Source organism: Homo sapiens, chromosome 5, assembly GCF_000001405.40.
Source record: "Homo sapiens chromosome 5, GRCh38.p14 Primary Assembly".
NCBI classification, from domain to species: domain Eukaryota; kingdom Metazoa; phylum Chordata; class Mammalia; order Primates; family Hominidae; genus Homo; species Homo sapiens.
Genome location: NC_000005.10, coordinates 176,719,238 through 176,735,520, shown reverse-complemented (window position 1 = coordinate 176,735,520; position 16,283 = coordinate 176,719,238). Strand labels below are relative to the sequence as shown.

Genomic DNA, 16,283 nt, shown 5'->3' with positions numbered 1-16,283 from the left:
ACCAGCCCTAGCTCCCAGCAGCCACCAGCCTGCTTGCCATCTCTATAATTCTGCCGTGTGTGGAGTGTTATGCCCAGGAAATCATAGAATATGTTTTGAGACTGGCTGTTCTCACAAAGGTCTTATCCTTATCTTCAGCATGTATTGAGAGCCTACTGTGTATCAGGCACATATTTGTCCCTTTCAGGAATACAGCACATACAACTCCTTGATTGCAAATGACAGAACCCAACTCAGGCTCTGTTATAAAAGGCAATGTATTGGCATCGATTACTGAAAAGTCCAGAAGTGGAGCTGGCTTCAGGCCCAGCTGGATCCAGGGGCTTGTTAGGACTGCTCTTATTCTCCGTGCTTTGGCTCTGCTCTCCTCTCTGCTGGTTTTCCTCACAGGCGGGCTCTCACCACATGGCAGCCACCAGTAGCTCTAGCTCATAGCCTGCTCACTCTCACAGTGAGCAAGGAGCACCCCTTCCTTAGAAAAGTTCCAGCACGCTGGGCGTGGCAGAGTATGCCTGTAATCCCCGCACTTTGGGAGGCTGAGGCAGGAGGATCACTTGAGCCCAGGAGTTTGAGGCTGCAGGGAACTGTGGTTGCACCACTGCACTCCAGCCTGTGCAACAGAGTGAGACCCTGTCTCAAAAAAAATTTAAAAAAGGGGCTGGGTGTGGCGGCTCACGCTCGTAATCCCACCACTTTGGGAGGCCGAGGTGGGAGGATCACGAGGTCGGGAGTTTGAGACCAGCTTGGCCATCACAGTGGCCCATCCCCACTAAAAATACCAAAATTAGCTGGGCGTGGAGGCGGGCGCCTGTAATCCCAGCTACTTGGGAGGCTGAGGCAGGGGAATTATTTGAACCTGGGAGGTGGAGGTTGCAGTGAGTTGGGAACACGCCACTGCACTCCAGCCTGGGCGACAGAGCTGGACTCCGTCTCAAAAAAAAAAAAAAAAGAAAGAAAGAAAGAAAGAAAGAAAGGAAAAGGGAGTGGGGTGGCGGGCAATGGAGGGGAGGGGAGGGGAGGGGAGGGGAGGGGAGCTAAGTTCAGCAAAGGTTCTGGCCCTGACTAGCCCAGCTTGGCACCCACCTGACCCCAAGCCAAGCACTGAAGTGGGGGTGGGGCTGAGTTTGCAGTGCTTGGATTGTCTCATCTTTGGTCACATGTCTTCTCCTGTCAGCCCTTCCCAAATCTCAGGGATTGAGAAGGGGCTTAAGGAAAATTTGGGATGCTGTTGTCAGAGGAAGGGGTGCTATTCCAGGCTGGCCTGAGGGGTAGGTGATGGTATTGTACTACCTCAGTGCAACTGGTTTAATTTTCAAAATATGTGCAGGAAGTCAGGCTGGGAAAGGCTAAGTAACCTACCCAGATTCAGAGCTCTGGGTCCAGCCCTGCAGGGCCTCGGACCCCGGGCTTGTGACTCTTGTTTGCTCCCAGGCTGCCTCCCGCCCCCACACCCTTCTGAAATGCCCACACTCTTCCTACTTCCACGCTCAGATGCAGAATTGAAAGGCTCTGGCATCCAGCAGAGCTGGGTTCATACCCAGCCTTGATACCAGGCATCTCCGTTTCTGCCTCAGCCTGGCTGTGGCCTTTGTCTCTCTGAGTCTCTTTGGTTTCTTTGAGACTCGTCCAGTGGACCACCGGACCCTCCAAGGCCGCGGGGGAGGCCTCCAGTGGGGCTGTCCTTGAGGGGCCCCTCCTGGGATGCAGGCTGGCACCAAGCCGCTCACAGTCACATCCCCACGCGTGTGCCGGCTCTGGCACCCGCTCCACGCGTGGGCTGCCACGTGGCTCCGAAAGAGCCAGGAAGGAGACGGCCACCGTCCAACAGGGAGGACAGGCAGATGGAGAGGGTGACTCAGCACGGGGGCCAGATGTGGCCAGATGAGAAGAGTAAACACGAAGGCCAGACCTGCTGAGGCCCCCTCAGAGCTGGGCAGGGATGGTGGGGGCCGAGCGGTGACAGACGGACGGGAGATGGGGCTGGGGGAGATGGATGGCACCAGCAGGCTCAGCCGAGTGAGGAAAGCCAGACAGATGGTCTCGTTAAAGAAGCCAGCCCGCGTGAGGGAACAGGGCTCCGCGCAGGAGTGGGGGACAAGGCAGGCTCCTCCTTGAGAGGGGCTCCTCCGGCCTGGGCCATTCCACCTGTGCTGGGCCCTGTCCTCATTCTGTCTGGAGTGGCCACCAGGTGTGGGCAGGCCTTTCTCTTGGGTCTGTCTCAGGTGTCTTCACTGCTGGCTTAAAAGCCCAGGCACAGCAGGTGGGACGGGAAGCCCCATCCCAGGACAATCCCCCTCCATCCTTACTGCCGCCAACACGCTTTTCTGAGCTCCTGCCACCCAGACACGCATGGCTATTGAGCTGCATCACCCCCACGTTGCAGTTGCTGTCCCCTCCACTTGGAGCCGTCTCCCTCAGTCCCCAATCACCTCCTCCGAGAGGTCCTCCTTGACCGCCCCATCTGAAGCAGCTCCATCACTCCTGAGCCCAGGGCACCGCTGTGGTTCCTCCCAGCCTCACTGCCTTCTGCACGTGCCCCATTCATTTCCTCATCGGCTTCATCCCCCCGCTAAAACAGGTGATCCTCTGGGATAGGGGCTGGGTCTGTCTCATTCTCAGCTGTGTCCCAGGCCCCGGAACCTGGTAGGTGCTTGATAAATGTGTGTGGGCTGAATCTTCACAGCCCGGGCCTGCCCTGCCCTCCTCTCCCCGTCCCCGCTTGCTCTCCTTAGCGCGCTTCACTGCCTCCCACATCACGTACCCGGCTTCTTCACTCTCCCTCACTAGGATGGGAGCTTCAGGAAAGAAGCAGTTTTTGTCTGTATGTCCAGTGCTTTGTTAGTTCCATGAATGGTCCTGGGGTGGATACCGTCACCTGAGGAAGTGGAGGGGTGCAGGAAGGAGCCTGCCTTGCAGAGGACGAGGAAGGACCAGAGCAAGGCGCCTGTATGTTTCCAGACGGTGAGAGCCAGATCAGGGGACAGAATCGGGCTTGTCCCCAAGTCCTGCTACTCCATGGGCCCCCACTTGGCATTTTCCTCTGGGACCCTGCTTGTCCTGGCTGCCAGCAAAGGCACCTCGGGCCCAGAGCGGACCACCGTAGCCAGGGTGTTAGGCGAAGAGCGGCCCCCAAAGACACGCAAGTCCCAATTCCTGGCAAAGGGGACTTCGCATATGCGATTGAGAAGGGAGGGTTATCCTGGGTTATCTGGGTGGGCCCTAAATGTAATCACAAGTGTCCTTATAATCGGGAGGCAGGGGGAGATTTGACACCAGAAGTGGGAGCTGTGACAACAGAAGCAAGAGGTTGGAGTGATGTAAGGAAGTGGAATTCTGCCGAAGAATGCAGGCAGCTCCGGAAGCTACAGAAGTCCGGGAAATGGATCCTCCCTCCAACCTCCAGCAGGAGCCAACCTGCCAACACCTTGACTTTAGCCCAGTGACAATGATTTTGGACTTCTGGCTTCCAGAGCTGTAAGAGAATAAATTTGTGTTGTTTAAAAAGTCACCAAGATACCGAGTTTCAGCTCTGCAAGATGAAAGGTTCTGGGGATCTGTTGCACAATATGAAGATACTTAGCAGCACACTATACACTTACAAATGGCTGGCAGGGTACATTTCATGTTACATGGGCTTTTTTTAACCACAATATTTAAAAATGGAAAAAAAAAAAAGTCACCACACTTGTGGGAATTTGTGACAGCAGCCACAGGAAACGAATACAGCCAGACTGTAACTGACTGGCCCCGGGGAACCTGGGTCTCAGGCCCATCCTGGCCCCTTCCCTGGATGAGCCTTCTCCGTGCAGGCAGGGATGCCCCAGGAGACTAGGAACCACCTGACTGGCCACACACCTCCCTCGCTCCTGTCAACATCCTGAGAAGTGGTTTCTATGATGATCCCCAACCTCCCAACAAGGAAATGGGCTCAGAGAGGTGAGGTGACATGCCCAAGGTGACACACCAAATAGCAGAGCTGGAATTTGAACCATGAGTTCCTAACCCCGTTTCCTGCATCCTGAAGTCGGATTCAGCCCTCGTCTCATAGCTGCTGGCCCACAGGCGTTCAAATGCCCAAATACTGCTTTTCAGCAGCTTCTAAAAGAGCCACAGAATTGCCTTCTTTTTCTCTGTTTGTAACCAGGCAATCTCTTCCAGTTAATCATAGAGCAGAGAGTCTCATTCTGTCCCGGTACGCCCACAAGTAGATCTGAGATTGCATGGGAAAGTACAGAAAAATGAGTTAGCTCACGTTCTATGTACGGTCCTCTGAGGCCCTACAGCTGAGCCTGCGATGGTGGGTAGGCTGCAAACCAGTGGCCCGTGGGCCACGCCTCTCCTGCAGAGGGATTCTGCTTGGTCTGCGCTATATTGGTTGTATTTTTATCCTGTCTCCAACATTTAACACCAGAAGATTTCTTTTCAAAATCACAAGTCAGGACAACATTTACCTCTATTTCTGTGTAGGTCAGGACAGGCTGAGCTATGCTGCAGTAACAAGCACCTCCAAGTCACAGGAGCTTACCACGCAGGTCTTTATTTCTTATGAGCACCACATATTCAGTGCAGGTAGCCAGGGCACTCTGCTCCACACAGTCACTTAGGGAACCAGGCTGATGGAGGCACCACCATTTTTAAGTGGCATCTGAGACACATGACCTTGTCAGTTGCTGCTTCTGGGAAAGAAGAAACAGAAGAAGAGCACAGGGACATTGCACGGCTTCAGCATGTGACATCGCCTGACTTCTGCTCACTTGTCATTGACTGAAACTAGTCATGTGGCCCATCCACACCCCAAGGGCTGAGAAGTACAGTCTTCTGTGACCACTAGTTTTACCAGTTTCAATACTGGTGGGCACTAGTCTATAGCATCTTCCCACTTGGCAGCAATTCACTGGGGCCGAATGAGCCTTGCCCACCTCTGGGCATGCTGCTATGGACAGATGTTCAGAGTGTGCACTGCACAGCTCCAGGAGCCACCATTCAGGTTGTATTTTCTGGGGTTGGTGTTCCCGGCAGCTGTGCAGTGCTCAGCTATAGCAGCCCTTTCCTGAATGCAGGGCATTCAAAGAGTTTACAAATGGACCCCAGCTTCATTTTTCAGTCGTATCCCCCCTGTCCCCCACCCCCATCCCTGGCTGCCATGTGCCCCTCTGCTCTTGTCAGTAATTCCTAATTCCCAAGGTGGTCTAGATGGCCCTCTGAGCTCTCCACATCCTCCATGAAACAAATCAGTTTGGGAAATGGGGCACGCTATACCCCATTAAAGGCTCTGGTGAGTCCTGCAGTGACAAAATCAATCTAACTTTGTTTAATCCAGTGTTTGCCAACTTTTTGCCCTTTTCTCTTTCTTTCTTTCTTTAGACAGAGTCTCGCTCTGTCGCCCGGGTTGGAGTGCAGTGGCGCAATCTCGGCTCACTGCAACCTCTGCCTCTCTGGTTCAAGGGATCCTCCTGCCTCAGCCTCCCGAGTAGCTGGGATTACAGGTGCACCACCACCATGCCCAGCTAATTTTTGTATTTTTAGTAGAGACGAGGTTTTGCCATGTCAGCCAGGCTGGTCCCTAACTCCTGGCCTCAAGTGATCTGCCTGCCTTGGCCTCCCAAAGTGCTGGGATTACAGGTGTGAGCCACTGTGCCCAGCCCCTTTTGCCCTTTTCTTAAACAGAACTTGTGATGTCCCAGGAGGAGGAAAGCCCATTCACCCAGCACACTCTGCCCATGTGTTTGTGTCTGCACCATTCTCCTTTCCTTACTCTTCCTTCCTCAAGTGAGCTTAACAGCTCCCACACATCCTGTAAATGCCCTTTCTGAAGATTCTCCTCATGGCCTGTGTCACAATGAAGAGTTGGTTTTGTGTTGGGATTCCCCTGCACCGGAACTTCTGTTGGGCATTGCTCTGAGCCCCCGGGGACATAGACCGAGCTGCCTCCTCTCTGTGGGGGGACATTCTTGCCCCCTGGCACTGAGCATGTCTGTGCTGTCTTCCTCCTTCCCTGGGGTGGGCAGAACCTCTGGACTCAGCCACCCACCATCATGCTCCTGCTGGGAGCTTCTTGAGAAAGGAGACTCTCCAGTAAAACCATGTTTTGGGTCTCATATGTTAAAAATGCCAGAAATTCCCCATAGGGTTACAGAAACTGCGGGATAACTTAAATGTTTACATTCAACCATTCATTCACTCATTCATTCAGCACGTGTTTCCAGAGCTCCTACTTAGGGGCCAGGCACTGGGGAGACATCAGGGAACAAAACAGACATGGGGTCTGTTTTATAGCCAGTTGCATTGGAGGCGAAGTAGAGAAGCACTAAGCAGCTGTTCAAGGCGCCAGGTGGGGGTGTGTGCTGAGCAGGCAAAGCTGGGCCAAGGGGCTGGGGTGCGGGAGGCCGGGGAAGGAGCGGCTTCCCTCTTCTGTGGGGTGGCTCCAAGAGGCCTCTCTGATTGATAGGATGATGTGAGCAGAGATTCAAGAAAGAGGAGAGCGGCACACAGCTGTCTGCGGGGAGAACCTTCCAGGTTGGGTAAGCCGCAGAGGCAGAGGCCCTCAGTGGGAGTGGCTGGAAAGGAGGCTGGGTGGCCAGAGCCCGGGGACAGGGAAGGAGATGCTGAGACAGGCCTTCAGCCCACAGGGCCCAAGGGAGGCAGAAGGTGGGGCTGGGTTCTGGACAGATCCTGCGGACGGAGTTCACAGGGGTGCCGAGATTCCCCAGAGAACGAGGGAGAAGACAGAGGCGAGATGGCCAGTTATGCAGAGTGACACCTGCCTTCTTCTCTCCATCCCGACAGAGCATCTTTGTGAGTCTCCAGTGCAAATCTGAGGCCTATTAAACTGAGGCCTAGGAGAGCAGCCTGCACGGACCCCTTTCCTTCCCTGTGAGGGAAGATGCCGGACCCCGCAGCACCCTCTGCAGCCCTGGGAATCCGACGGCTGGGTTATCAGCCCCATCTCACAGGCTGGGAAACTGAGGCTCAGATGAGGTTCTGGGGCCCATCAGAGCCCTGAGGGCGAGTGTGTCCTGCCTCAGGAATCCTCCCAAGGTACCCACCTGGGGACATCGAGTAGACAGAGGTAAGAGGGCAAAACAGCTCAGTGCCCAAGCCAGGACAGGAGTGACAAAGACCTGTGGTCCAGGAACCCTGCCTTGACAGAGGACTGAGGCTGGCCTGCCGAGGAGTGGCTGGCCATGTCTGGGGTTCCATCCTGAGCTCCTGGCAGAGAGGGGCACATCAGAGGACCCAGCATGCAGAAGGCAAAGGAGGGGGCATCCCAGAACCTCTGGCAGTGGTGGCTTTGGGGGAAGCGCCTGGAAAGCACAGGCTCTGAGGGTGGTGGGAGCTGTTGCTCAGTCTGCAGTCCCGGCAAACTGCCCGATCTCTCCAGGCCTCTGCTCCCACCTTAGGAACACGGGGCCTCCTCATGGGAGCCTCTGGTGTGTGAGCGAGTGGAGTGCCTCCCCTCCCAGCCCCAGCACAGCCCCACCGAACAGAGGGCCTGGGTCCCTGGAGCCAGGAGCACCCCCACAGGACGGGCTCATGGGTCATGTGTGACTGGCAGTGCCTACAACTCAGGACATTTCCTATTTTAAAAGCCCGGGCTTCCGATTCCTCTTCAAAATGCAGCACGGCCACCCACACCGGCCTGTCTTGCGAGTGCTTCTGTCAGCTGGAGCCCCAAGGGTCCGCCCTGGGCTGTCCCCACCTGGCTGGCTTGGCTGTGGGCATGAGAGCTTGCAAGCCCTACCCTTGAAAAGGTGATGAGGCTGCCGGCAGGGATTTCACCCCCTGCTGCCCCTAGAACTGACAGATACACCTTCTCCCACAGGCCAAGGCCCGGGGTCCCCCACGCCCCTGCAGGCTGAGACCAGAATCGTCCCCAGCGGCAGGCGGCGTGAGCTCCTCCAGCCGCTCTGTCCTCTGCAGCCACTGGTGATGGACAGCATGGAGAGGGCCACAGCTGGGGTTCACTCCCACCTCTCTCATAGGCAGAGGAAGCTGGAAAGGGTGAGGGGGAATCCCTCGTGAAGGGGAGTGGGGAGTCTCCAGGAGCTGCCCCAGCCCTCCACAACAGGAGAAGCCAAGGACAAAGCCCACCAAAGGGCAGGGCAAGAGCTGCGACAGCCCCAGGACAGGAGCCTCCTCCCGCTGCTGACACCTCCTAGACCAAGGGTGGAGGCCTGTGCGCCCCTACTCCCTGCCTCCGGGGCCAGCGAAGAAAGGAAGGGCAGGCGGCCACATGGCCAGCCTGGAGACCCACACTCTTGTCCCTGTCTGCCCCACCTCTGTGTGCCCCCAGGAGGGTCCCTCAGCCTCCTCGGGCGTGAGTTTGGGGTGTTGAGAGAGAGAAGGTGGGCCTGCATGGCCTCTAGGGCCCCTTTGGACTCTGAAAACCTCTGGCTTTAATGGAGCCTTTATAGACTGTAAATAAAGGTTGTTATTTACAAACAGCACCCCCACCGCACCCGGCCATGGCACAGCCTGACCCTGCAGCCGACCTGGGCCGCGAGATGACAGCCTCCACAACAAGTGCTTGGGCCGGGCCTGGCATGTTCCACGTGAGCAACACACATTTCCTGCCATTGTTGTCACGGTGCCGCTCACACTGTTCAATGGGGAAGCCAAGACCCGGTGAGGTGACAAGACTGCGGTAAGGTCTCACGGTGGCCCGTATTCCCCAGGCAAAAGGTTCCAGAGCTGAGCCCCCTGCTTCTCAGCAAGTCCGGCTCCTCCCAACAAGGAGCACGAAGCTCTGGTCTTGTTAGCCCCTGTGGGGCTGCGGGTTGGGGAGGTCTTTGGTCCTGCATCCTGCCTGGGTGCTGGGCAGGTCATTCCAATGTCGCATTACCCATCACCCCAGCCCCCTGTTCTCCACCGCTCACTTCAGGTCAGGGAGAGAACTGGCTCTAGGCCAGGCGGAACCCAACTCAAGGGTCACTGGTGGGCTACCTGGAGGAATGCAGGCGGGCTGAGCGGGTTCTGGTAGCTTCTAAGCCCTAAGGCCCATTCAGAGGCGGCCTTCCAGGGTCACTCCTCTGAGCAGGGTGAAGGAGGGAGAGACTGAGAGCCCCCACCATGCTGCAGCCCTGGTGTCCTCGGCAGTGCTGGGGTCCGGTGGAAACCCCCCAGTCCCCCAAAGCAGATTCGGCTCAGGAACCCTGAGAATGGCCAAGTGCATCATTTTGGGGTTGTCTTTCTCACCAGTTCCGAATGTCTCCTGTTTATTATGCTTGAGGGCAGTTTTAGGAAAAGGTTTTATGGCTGCTGAGGCAAGAGTAAGTAATGCAAGATGTGGGGAAAAAGCAAATTCACGGAGTCCTCTCTGCAAATGCTGCGGGGCTGGTGCCTCCGACAAGGCAGATGGATGACCCGCAATTACCCGCCCGGATCCCCCAGCCTCACCCCGCTCCCTCCCGCCTGGTCTCCAAGCAATTTCAGACTTTTTGTACATCCAGAGCAGAGATTGTGTACGATTTCTCTCGCCGGCAGAAGCGGCTTTCAGGTAGGGGAAGGAGGCCGAGGCATGTTTATCTTTGAACAAAAGGCAGCTAGAGACAAAAAGGGAGCATGGCCCTGCCCCCAGCCGCCTGCTCCTGGTGCCCTCCCCAAAGCCCAGGTCCTTCCTCTGGCTGCAGAGGGGAGATTTTAATTGTGTGTGCTCAGCTCAGCTTCTTCAGGGTGCCAAGATCTGGGGACAATGGTGTGGGCTGCTCTGCTGGTCTCTCGTGTGTGGGTCAGGTGGTGTCTGTGCAGGTAGGAAGCAGTCACCGCCTGGGCCAGGCTGTGTCTATATGAGTACGGGAAGGGAGCCAAATGGCTGTCACTGGGCAGTTTCTCAACCCGGGCAGGCCCCTCTGGAGTCTTCCCTTGGTGGCGGGAAGCAGGATTTAAGGTGTCCAGTTTGAGGGAGAGGCCCTTCATCACCACTCCAGAACACCGCGGGCTTGACACAGGATGCCAGGGGTGGCTCTGGTTGCTGCTGGCAGCTGCGTGCATGTGCACACAGCTGGGCGGGGGTCTGCACTCTTGAGTGCTATCCCCACCCTCTCTCCAGCTCCCTGCTGGCTCCTGCAGGTGAAGGAGGAGTGCAAGAGACAGCTCAAGACCACAGTATGGAGCAGCTCCCCAAAGTCAGCCATTAGCTGCCACAGTCAGGATTTTGGTCACCTCTGTGTTCCACCTCTACATTCATTTATGTTTTTGTTTTGTAACTAGGTAATACAATCACATGGTTCCAAAAGCAGAAGGAGCTTAAAAGGTAAATGGAGCTGGGTGCAGGGGCTCATACCCGTAATCCCAGCACTTTGGGAGACCGAGGCGGGAGGATTACCTGAGGTGAGGAGTTTGAGACCAGCCTGACCAACATGGTAACACCCGGTCTCCACTAAAAATACAAAAAAATTAGCCAGGCATGATGGCTTGTGCCCGTAGTCCCAGCTACTCAGGAGGCTGAGGCAGGAGAATCGCTTGAACCTGGGAGGTGGAAGCTGAAGTGAGCCGAGATGGTGCCACTGCACTCCAGCCTGGGCGACAGAGGGAGACTCTGTCTCAAAAAAAAAAAAAAAAGGTGAATGGGAAGTCTCTCCCCTAACCTGCTGCCCCACCCACCCTCACCACAAAGGCAGGTATGCTTACCAGCTTTCCATCTGTCCATCCAGAGTATCTTTGTTGAAGTATAACAAATATGAAAACATATTCTTATTTTCTCTCTTTCTTGTACAAAACCGAGTGTGTCCTATGGACTGTTCCGTATCTCGTTTTCTCCCTTGATAGATTTATCGCGTGCATGCTCCACTTTGTACTAACTCGATGACATAGGTGTAAGGCTATTCACTGCACTACAAGAGCAAAAGATTGAAAACAACTCAGGTGTCCGCCCACAAGGGGCTGGCTCAATGAGCTAGGGCCTGTCAGGACCGTGGGATACTCTATAGCTGTGAGAACAAAAATAGAAAGGAGGAGAAGGGCAGGTGGGGAAGGTTTCTATCCCCTGATTTGGAAAGGCCTCTAATCTCCAGGCTTTACTGGCTGAATAGGAAAGGAGGGATTGTTGGTTTAAAGGACACATATATGCATTTACAATTTTGATACTGTCAAATCTTTTCTGGTTTCAGGATTTTGGACTCATAATTTGAATTTTTAATTTACTTAATATTTTACTTAATATTTTTCTTTGCAAGAATTTATGTTTTAAACTTAATAAATTTATATTAAAGAGATACTAGAATAGGGTTTTAAAAAAAACGAAAAAGGTGATGGGCAAGGCAGGGTCTTTCACTGTAATATAATGAAATACAACCCAACGCAATGGAAGTTCTTTCAGGCTCAGGTAAACAGGAAGGGCATTTATGAAAGGATATTTGGAGCCCAGAAACCCTCTGGGAAGCCGAGCATCATGCTGAGAGGCTGAACGCCTGGGAAGGAGCTGCAGACAGACAGCTGCCCTTGCCCTTGGCTTTGAGACCCCAACCTGCCCAGCTCTGCGTCCTGTCCCCCTGCTTCTGGAGGCCGGATGAGGTTGCTGGTGCTGCCACTGCCCCACACAGAGAGATGGATTCTGGGGGTCCCTGACTCTCTGTGGCCCTGGCTAGTTGGGGTAGGTGCTACTGATGGTGGACCCTTGTGTTCTGGGGAAGGCCCAGATTGTATGTCTGGCATTTCTGTGTACACAGAGAGGGGCTGGATCTTCCTTTTCAGGAAGAAGGTTCTGATACTAGGTAGCCAGGTTGAGAGTCCACTCCCAGAAGGAAGGGCCATGTTTCTAGAGAGAGTGCTGCACAGGGGCAGGGCAGGGGCACCGGATGTCTCAAGCTGGGCAGAGAGAGAGACAGAACTGGTCTGGGGCTGTGAACCCAGGAAGGAAGACTCAGTGGGTAGTCAGATTGTGTCAAGAGATATGAGGCAGCCAACCAGAGGCTTGAGAGCGCCAAGAGAAGGGAGGGAGAACTAGGGCAGAAGGGGAGGAAGAGGACCCAGTAGGGATGGTAGGATAGGGACTGCAGCAGGGGGAGGCTGGGAGGAGCTGGAGGAGGGGTGGAGGCTCAGGGCTGGAGGCTGGGGGGGAGAGTGGAAAAGGCCTGCGCCTGGAGGGTAAGCTTGGACCTGGGCCTGGGCCCAGGAGGGGCAGTGGCAAGCTGAGGGTGTGGGGGCACACAGGAGCCAGGGAACAGGTGGCCTTCCAGAAGCAGCACACAGAGCCTGCACCCCAAGGCTGCAGAGGCACCTTCCTGAGTCTGGCAGAGAAGGTACCTGTGTATTCAGGGTCCAGCAGGAGAGCTCAATGTGGCCTCTGCATCCCCCTAAATCCCCAGGGACACCAGCCCCCACTGCGGGAAGCTGGCAGTGGATCGTGTTTTTCCCTGCATCTGGGCTTCCCACGCTCATCTGTATGCCGGCACGGCCTGAGCCCCTCAACTCCATCCCTCCTCTTTGCTGCTCTTTTCACTGGAGCTGGCCCTGCCTGGAGGGCTTGTGCCCAGCCCTGCTTCTTCACAGCGAAGCCACGTCTTCAACGAGGTTGGGGGGATCCCACCTCCTCTCCACCACCAGCTGCTGCACACCCTGGGCTGTGTGTAGAGCCTGCATTATTCACGGCTCTCAGATCTCAGCAAAACGCACAGATCTGGGCTGGAACCATCACGGTTTTCATCTGCAGCTCTCAGCCCTCCTTCCCTCATGATGCCTCTGCATTTGATCTTCTGCAAATTTGCCTCTTTGTTCTTCAGACAGAATCATATTGCCAGGGGCTCCCGACAGCCCTTGGTGACACAGACTGCCACAAAAATTCTCTTTAAATATGAAAATAAAAACGTCCCCAGAGCAATGAGCGGGACACCTCCAGGTGGAAATGTCACAACCTGCCATAAGACAACAGCTCAGAGCAAAGAACAAAGCGGCCCGAACCCAGTTGTGTGTGGATGGGCACCGAGAACTCACAGGAGGAGAGGCGAGGCCGGTTTTGGTTCTCTCCCGCCTTGGATCAGTTGTTTCCCCCTGAATTTCATATTCTAGGCTTTAATGCTGCTTGATGATAATACCCAGAGCTGGTGAGGCTGCAGAGACGCAGGGAACAGATGCATTGCGGGGAGTAGCGTGTTTCTAGAGATTTCCAACAATGCTGATTGTCTCAGGCTCCAGGAGCCAGTGGCAGAAAATCCAGTTCAAACTTGGGGTGACTACTGGCTTATAAACCTGAAAAGTCAGGAAGCAGATGGCTTTGGAAACTGCTGGATCCAGGGGTTCAAAAATATCTTCAAAACCTGCATATCTACTAAACTGTGCAGGAAAAAAAATGGTTAATGGTAGTTTATGTTATGTGTATTTTACCATATTTGAAAAATTAAAGACCAGACACAGTGGCTCATGCCTGTAATCCCACCACTTTGGAAGCTGGAGGCGGGCGGATCACTTGAAACCAGGAGTTCAAGACCAGCCGGGGAACATAGGAAGATGCCCGTCTCTACAAAAAATACAAAAATTAGCCAGGTGTGGTGCCATGTGCCTGTGATCTCAGCTACTTGGGAGGCTGAGGTGAGAGGATCACCTGAGCCTGGGGAATTTGAGGCTGCAGTGAGCCGTGATTATGCCACTGCCCTCCAGCCTGGGTGACAGAGTGAGACGCTGTCTCAAAAAAAAAAAAAAAAGAAAGAAAAGAAAAATGTAAAACAAAACAAAGCAAAAAACATGCACAATGCCATGTCCCACTTTAGGCCTTAGGTGACTGCCTCCAACTGGAATACATCGTTCAAGTCGCTCAAATGTCAACTCTTCAGAGGCCCCCTGAAGGCCAGTCCACAATAGCCACGCTCCGTCAGCTACCCGCTCTCACCCCTATGGGCTGTTTCTCTTCTCTGCAGTTGCCACTTTCTGGAGCAATCCTACTTACTCACTTGTTTACCTGTGTGCTTACTGGGCTTAGGGCCTGCTTCTCCCTGCTAGTGTGTCTGGAATTGGTGGGTTCTTGGTCTCACTGATTTCAAGAATGAAGCCGCGGACCCTCGCGGTGAGTGTTAACAGTTCTTAAAGGCCGCGTGTCCGCAGTTTGTTCCTTCTGATGTTCGGAAGTGTTCAGTTTCTTCCTCCCAGTGGGTTCGTGGTCTCGCTGGCCTCAGGAGTAAAGCTGCAGACCTTCCCAGTGAGTGTTACAGCTCATAAACGCAGTGTGGACCCAAACGGTGAGCAGCAGCAAAATTTATTGCAAGGAGCGAAAAAACAAAGCTTCCACAGTGTGGAAGGGGCCCCGAGCGGGTTGCCACTGCTGGCTCGGGCAGCCTGCTTTTATTCCCTTATCTGGCCCCACCCACATCCTGCTGATTGGTCCATTTTACAGAGAGCTGACTGTTCTGTTTTACAGAGAGTGGATTGGTCCGTTTTGACAGGGTGCTGATTGGTGCCTTTACGATCCCCAAGCTAGACACAAAAGTGCCGAGGCCAAGGAGGCACCAAGAGCGAGCGAGGGCTGCGACGACTGCCAGCACGCTGTCACCTCTCACTAGGATGTCAGCACCGTGAGAATAGGGACTCTGTCTTGTTCGTGGCTGTTTCCCCAGGGCCAGGAATGGGCCTGGCACAGAGTGGGGCTTAGCACATAGAGGCAGGAGGAGTAAATGAAGGAAGGTTCTCTCTGCCTCCCTTGGTGCTCTCCCCTTGTGTTGGCACCATCTTCAGGGATTCTCCCTAGACAGTGGCAAATTGGCTGCAGGCAGCTCTGATGTTCGCTGTCAATATTATGTCGATATGACATCAGCGACATTATGGCATCATTCCTGGGACGTCCTCACAGCCCTGAGGGGGAAGAAAGGGCATTGCTAAGTGTCGCAAGGTTGCAAATCATTGGCTCTGACTCAGTCATGTGACATTCCCTGAACCAATCCCTGTAAAGCAGAGATGCAGTACTCTGATTGGCCAGGCCTGATGCCCAAGTCCACTGCTGTAACAGAAAGTCACCTCAGTCCCACTGAAGCGGCACATGGGCACGGGTGGGGGTTCCCCAGGAGAAAATCAGTGAGCCAGCAGCCAGAAGATGGGGCACAGATGTGGGGCAGGCACATCAGGTCAAGGCCACAAATGCCTCAGACACACCAGGTTATGTAACAGGCTGTTACGTCAATATCCCCCCAAATTCCTACGTCAAAGCCCTAACCCCCAGTGTGATGGTTTTAAGGTGGTCAAAAGGAACCTCTGCCGGGCATGGTGGCTCACGCCTGTAATCCCAGCACTTTGGGAGGCCGAGGCGGGCGGATCACTTGAGGTTGGGAGTTCGAGAACAGCCTGACCAACATGGTGAAACCCTGTCTCTACTAAAATACAAAAATTAGCTGAGTGTGGTGGTGCACACCTGTAATCCCAGCTATTCGAGAGGCTGAGGCAGGAGAATCACTTGAACCCAGGAGGCAGAGGTTGCAGTGAGCCGAGATCGCCACACTGCACTGCAGCCTGGGCGACAGGGTGAGACCCTCTCTCCAAAAAAAAAGTAACCTCGGTCCCCTGGTCATGAGGGTGGAGCCTCATGGATGGATTAGTGCCCTTATCAAAGGGACCCCAGAGAGCTCTCTGGCCCTCTTTCTGCCATGATGACACAATAAGAAGTTGACGTCCAAAACCAGAAGAGTGGCCCTCACCAGAACCCCTGCCAGTGCCCTGATCTCTGACCCAGTCTCCAGAACCTTGAGAAACAAACTGTTATGGTTTGTAAGCCACCTAGCTGATGGTGCTTTATTACAGCAGCCAGAAGGCATAAGACAAGGCTCTGGAGAATCCAAGATAGATAAAACTTTAATAAACATTTGCTGAATGAGGACAACACAATCTCTGACTGCTCAGAAGAGCAGGAAGACAGATCTGTGTCATCACAGAATGTGTTTATGCTGAGGGAAGGGATGGTGGTGGGGGCACTGTGTCCCTCCCTGTGAGCCGTGCCCAAGCCCAGGGGCCTGCCTGACCCAGGGATTCCACGAATTTACTCAAAAGGAGAAATAAATGATCTTGCACAAGGACAGTTGTTGCGGCATTATTTGTAATACAGAAAAAACTGGAAACAACCCAAATGTTCCCCGGTAGGGGACTGGTTAACTAAATTATGGAACATCCACTTGATGAAATATTCTGGAGTGGTTAAAAATGATCGTTATGAAAACTACAGAGCAACAAGGGAAAAGGCGTCTGTTCTAACACACAGTGACAGCACAGAATGCCAAACTGTGACCGCAAGAAGCACAAACCACGCGCCAGGCTCTGTGCTTGGGACACAAGAGACTCGCGGGAGCCCTCCTGCCCCCAGGAAGCTCCTG

General features: G+C 54.3%; 5 annotated features.

Moving 5' to 3' along the window:
* Window positions 1,302-2,231: an enhancer, noted in NCBI's record as "H3K27ac-H3K4me1 hESC enhancer chr5:176160291-176161220 (GRCh37/hg19 assembly coordinates)". NCBI's record gives its function as "activates a minimal SCP1, AML or CMV promoter by ChIP-STARR-seq in naive H9 embryonic stem cells {active_cell/tissue: H9 hESC(naive)}" and the evidence as "EXISTENCE:reporter gene assay evidence [ECO:0000049][PMID:30033119]".
* Window positions 2,232-3,162: an enhancer, noted in NCBI's record as "H3K27ac-H3K4me1 hESC enhancer chr5:176159360-176160290 (GRCh37/hg19 assembly coordinates)". NCBI's record gives its function as "activates a minimal SCP1, AML or CMV promoter by ChIP-STARR-seq in naive H9 embryonic stem cells {active_cell/tissue: H9 hESC(naive)}" and the evidence as "EXISTENCE:reporter gene assay evidence [ECO:0000049][PMID:30033119]".
* Window positions 9,242-9,772: an enhancer, noted in NCBI's record as "H3K4me1 hESC enhancer chr5:176152750-176153280 (GRCh37/hg19 assembly coordinates)". NCBI's record gives its function as "activates a minimal SCP1, AML or CMV promoter by ChIP-STARR-seq in naive H9 embryonic stem cells {active_cell/tissue: H9 hESC(naive)}" and the evidence as "EXISTENCE:reporter gene assay evidence [ECO:0000049][PMID:30033119]".
* Window positions 9,773-10,304: an enhancer, noted in NCBI's record as "H3K4me1 hESC enhancer chr5:176152218-176152749 (GRCh37/hg19 assembly coordinates)". NCBI's record gives its function as "activates a minimal SCP1, AML or CMV promoter by ChIP-STARR-seq in naive H9 embryonic stem cells {active_cell/tissue: H9 hESC(naive)}" and the evidence as "EXISTENCE:reporter gene assay evidence [ECO:0000049][PMID:30033119]".
* Window positions 13,884-14,383: an enhancer, noted in NCBI's record as "H3K4me1 hESC enhancer chr5:176148139-176148638 (GRCh37/hg19 assembly coordinates)". NCBI's record gives its function as "activates a minimal SCP1, AML or CMV promoter by ChIP-STARR-seq in naive H9 embryonic stem cells {active_cell/tissue: H9 hESC(naive)}" and the evidence as "EXISTENCE:reporter gene assay evidence [ECO:0000049][PMID:30033119]".